Below are 4,252 nucleotides of genomic sequence, written 5' to 3' on the forward strand. Positions count from 1 at the left end.
GACTTCGAACCCTGATGTTAGAGCCTGTACCCTGACCCATTAAACTTAATATTCCCAGCTCTGGGATTTCCTGGACCAAGGTATGGAGCCTAACCCAATGAAGGTGTGTGTGCTAGTGCCAGAGAGTCAATACGCCTCAGTAACTATTGAGTGGAATGGAGTAAAGACAAGAATGAGTAGGGGGAAATGGATGACTTGCTGGGGGTCTTGGGAGTGACTCGAGCACTTGGAAGTGGGGCGGGCAGTAGGGGGAGGGTTGGCCTTAAGCAAGGAGTTCTGAATCCTTCTCACTGCCACCTAGGAGGGCACAATGGAGATGGGGGGCAGTTGCAGACAGCTTCAAGGGAGTCAGGCCCTCCCTGGACAAGCTGCAGCTCAGCCTCAACCCTCATCCCACCTGTCCTACCTGGGAGATGCTGACCTCCCAGGACAACACCTCCAGGGTGTCATCTCCACCCAACCAAGGTGGGGCTGGGAAACCAGATGTGCCTGCCACAGGTGGGGCTGAGGCCAAGAGGACACCCATGGGAGGGAGCCCCAAACCCACAAGCGTTTGCTGAGCTTTGACACAGAAGGCAGCCAGGTGAGGCTGACAAGCTCTGCTCCAGGAGTCACCATCTAGGAATACCTCAGAAAGGACCATGGCTCCCACTTTCCTGCAGAGGAAAGCTTCCTGGAGTCCTCCAGTCTGCCCATTCTTCTCCTCTCTCCAAGTCCCCTTTCTGCCTTCCACTCCTACCCCCAACCATAATCTAGCCTCTGCCTACCTCTGCTCTGCCCCCTTCCTCCTCAGGGTCCCACAAAACACCGCCCCTTTCTTTTCCCCCCAAACACCCCGTCTCTTTTGCTTCTAAAATGCTTTTCCCTGCAGTGTTTTCTCTGCGTGGGATGCTCTTTCTCTATGTGTCTCTTGCGACTCTACTCAATCCTGCTTGTCTGTCAATCCTCTATTTTTATTTATTTATTATTTTTTGCCAGGAGAGGGGATGGAGTTTTGCTCTTGTCACCCAAGCTGGGGTGCAATGGCATGATCTCAGCTCACTGCAACCTCCACCTCCGGGGTTCAAGTGATTCTCCTGCCTCAGCCTCCCAGGTAGCTGGGATTACAGGCACACACCACCACGCCTGGCTAATTTTTGTATTTCTAGTAGAGACGGGGTTTCACCACGTTGGCCAGGTTGGTCTCAAACTTCTGACCTCAAGTGATCCACCTGCCTCGGCCTTCGAAAATGCTGGAATTACAAGCGTGAGCCACCGCACCCAGCCCAATCCTCTATTTAGATGCCATCCCTCCAAAAAGTCTTTCCCGACCACCTGAGAGATTAGATCCCCTGCCATGTTTCCAGAGCATATGCTGCCTTGGCCATGATTCGTAGACTCACTTACTTGCTTTTAATGTCCACCAGGGCATAGACTGTGTCTTTTTGGTTCATGACCCGACCCCTATTCCCTAGCACAGGACCTGGCACATGGCACTTGCTCTTCCACAGCTTCCAGGGCCTCAGACACAGCACAAGTCTGACCCAATTTGTTTCAGGGAGGCTGAGGAATAGAGTGCAGGGGATTCTTGAATTCGCTTGAATATAGGACTACAAGGCTCTGTTGGAAATAGAAATCTTTTGTCAGATGCCCAGAGCCCCAGAGGCCAAGTGAGAGACAGAGTTGCCATGTCCACTGCTTTTCAGGTAAAATGCCCCCCAACTCCACGTGTGGAAAGCCTTGCATTTCAGCTCAAGCGTCCACTCAGCCAGCTTCTTGCAGGAAATCTGGGGGTGGGGGTGGGGTGGGAGGTACAGGGAAAATCTCTAAGCCAAGCAGGCCTTGGCCAGCTGAAACCCAGCCTTGGTCCAGAAACCCATACTGCCCTCCACCCACATAGCTACTCCACTCCCACCCCCACCCCCAGGGACCAGCCGGCAAGAACCTAAGCTTGTATAAACAAGGCCACAGGAAAGCAAGACCCTTATCTGTTATCAGTTCTCTTTCTCCAGCTCAGCCACTTGGCTGGAACAGCAGCCGGGAGGTGGGAGCTGGCCAGACTCCTCCCCCTTCTCCTTTATCTTTCCTCCCTAGCCAGCTTCTCCTCCCCCGGAGGTGGCTCAGGCTCCCTGGGTCACTGCTTCCCGCCAGCTGGAGAAGGGAGGCAGCAGCTATCTTAACAACCTAAGTCAAGGCCGAGTCTCTGATTGTCTGTGCCGGGGAGGCTCCCTCCTCCATCCTTCCCTCCCTCCCTCCCTGGCTCCCTAGGGATGGGGTCACGGATGTGTTTATCTTGTTGGAGGAGGTAGGGAGGGATGGTGGGCCCCAGTCTGTAAGTCAGTTGAAGGGTACAGAGTGACCACTAGGGTCCTAGGCTTTAGCTTTGACATCTAGGACAGGAGGGTTGCATTTTGGTCTTCATGATGTTCAGCTGTTTAGTTGGAACAAGACAGATGAGAGTTCATTAGGTGCAAGGTCTCCTCCTGCCCAAAAATTCTGTGACGACCAGATAGAAAGCTGCGGGGGAAGGTTATTGGCTGGGTGAGTCTGACTGTCTGACTCGTCTCCACTTTGGACTTCTAATTACATAAGCCTGGTACTGACCCAGAAAGAGGGGGCGGCTGGCTAATACTCCCCAGAATGTTATGTTACACCAGAAGCATTCCAGCCTGAAGGAAACCTGTGAGTCTAAGACTTCAGTTTTAATAAAATGAAAATATCTGAGCCACATCCCTAAAAAGATAGATTTCTGTACCTCCCAGATCAACTGAAATGAAGATGGAGGAAAAGCCAAGTCTTCCTCCCTCACCCAGCCACATGCGCTTCCCTTCTCCCACCATATTCTAGGAGGTCCTTGGAGAAGGTCAAACAGGGAGAGTGGACTCCACTGTCACTGTCCCAAAGCAAGACAAATGAGGGTACCGAGGGGGTGGAGTACCTGGAATTTACAACAATATAGCAAGATTCAAAACCTGGCTGAGACCTGGCGCTGTGGCTCATGCCTATAATCCCAGCACTTTAGGAGGCCAAGGCGGGTGAATTGCCTGAGGTCAGGAGTTCAAGACCAGCCTGGCCAACATGGTGAAACCCTGCCTCTGCTAAAAATACAAAAATTAGCCAGGCTTGGTGATGCATGCCTGTAATCCCAGTTAGTCTTCTCAAGACTCTTCCCTTGTGAAGCTTATATTGTATTTTGGGTTTTTTTGTTTTGTTTTGCTTTTTTTGTTTGTTTGTTTGTTTGTTTGGAGAGACAGGGTCTTGTTCTGTCACCCAGGCTGGAGTGCAGTGCTACGATCATAGTTCACTGCAGCCTCCCTTCCTGGGCTCAAGCAATCCTCCCACCTCAGCCTCCTGAGTAGCTAGGACTATAGGCATGCACCACCGTGCCTAGCTAATTTTTTAAAAATTGTTTTGTAGAGACAGGGTCTCATTATGTTTTCCAGGGTGGTCTCAAACTCCTCGGCTCAAGCAGTCTTCCCACCTCAGCTTCCCAAAGTGTTGAGATTACAGGCGTGAGCCACCATGCCTAGCCATTATATTTTATTCTTACATTTGTTTATAACTCCATCTCAAGACAGTTGTTCACCAACTGGATTTTGAGGTCTCTGTATCTTCCAAGAATTTAGGTCCCCCTAGCCTAAAACAGTGCTGACTTAAGGACCCTTTGTGTGGTAGACCTTACTATTGGATGAACATTATACTTCCCTGCCCCAGGAGAGTTGAGGTTTGGCCATATGACTTGCTTTGGCCAGTGAAATGTGAGCAGCAGTGACAGGCGTCACTTCTAGACAGAAGTTTTAAGAATTAGTGAGTGATTCCGTATGTCAATCTTTTTTCCCTCTGCTGTGAAACCATGAGTTCCCCAGATCCAGGAGTCCCAGTGTCACGCCATCAGCCCAGGAGTGAAATCAACAGAGCAGTCCGTGGCCAACTCGCAATGAACATGTATTACAAATGAAAAATAACCTTTCTTATTGTAAGCCACCAAGATTTTGTGATTGTTATCACAGCATAACCACACCCACCTTGATGTTGTTTTTGTACACTAGTTGTGTCCAATAAAGGTGATTAGACAGGTTGTTTTCTATCTCCCTACTGACTTTTTTTTTTTTTTTTTTTTTGAGACAGGGCCTCACTCTGTGGCCCAAGCTAGAGAGCAGTGGCGCGACCCCAGCTCACTGCAGCCTCAACCTCCTGGGCTCAAGCGATCCTCCCACCTCAGCCTTTCAAGTAGCTGGGACCACAGGTGCATGCCACCACACCCGACTAATTT

At 50.5% G+C, this 4,252-nt stretch overlaps 2 annotated features.

Moving 5' to 3' along the window:
- Positions 1,340–1,840: an enhancer, noted in NCBI's record as "H3K4me1 hESC enhancer chr14:69229160-69229660 (GRCh37/hg19 assembly coordinates)". NCBI's record gives its function as "activates a minimal SCP1, AML or CMV promoter by ChIP-STARR-seq in naive H9 embryonic stem cells {active_cell/tissue: H9 hESC(naive)}" and the evidence as "EXISTENCE:reporter gene assay evidence [ECO:0000049][PMID:30033119]".
- Positions 1,841–2,341: an enhancer, noted in NCBI's record as "H3K4me1 hESC enhancer chr14:69229661-69230161 (GRCh37/hg19 assembly coordinates)". NCBI's record gives its function as "activates a minimal SCP1, AML or CMV promoter by ChIP-STARR-seq in naive H9 embryonic stem cells {active_cell/tissue: H9 hESC(naive)}" and the evidence as "EXISTENCE:reporter gene assay evidence [ECO:0000049][PMID:30033119]".

The sequence above is a fragment of the Homo sapiens genome, chromosome 14 (genome assembly GCF_000001405.40).
Source record: "Homo sapiens chromosome 14, GRCh38.p14 Primary Assembly".
Classification (NCBI taxonomy): Eukaryota; Metazoa; Chordata; class Mammalia; order Primates; family Hominidae; genus Homo; species Homo sapiens.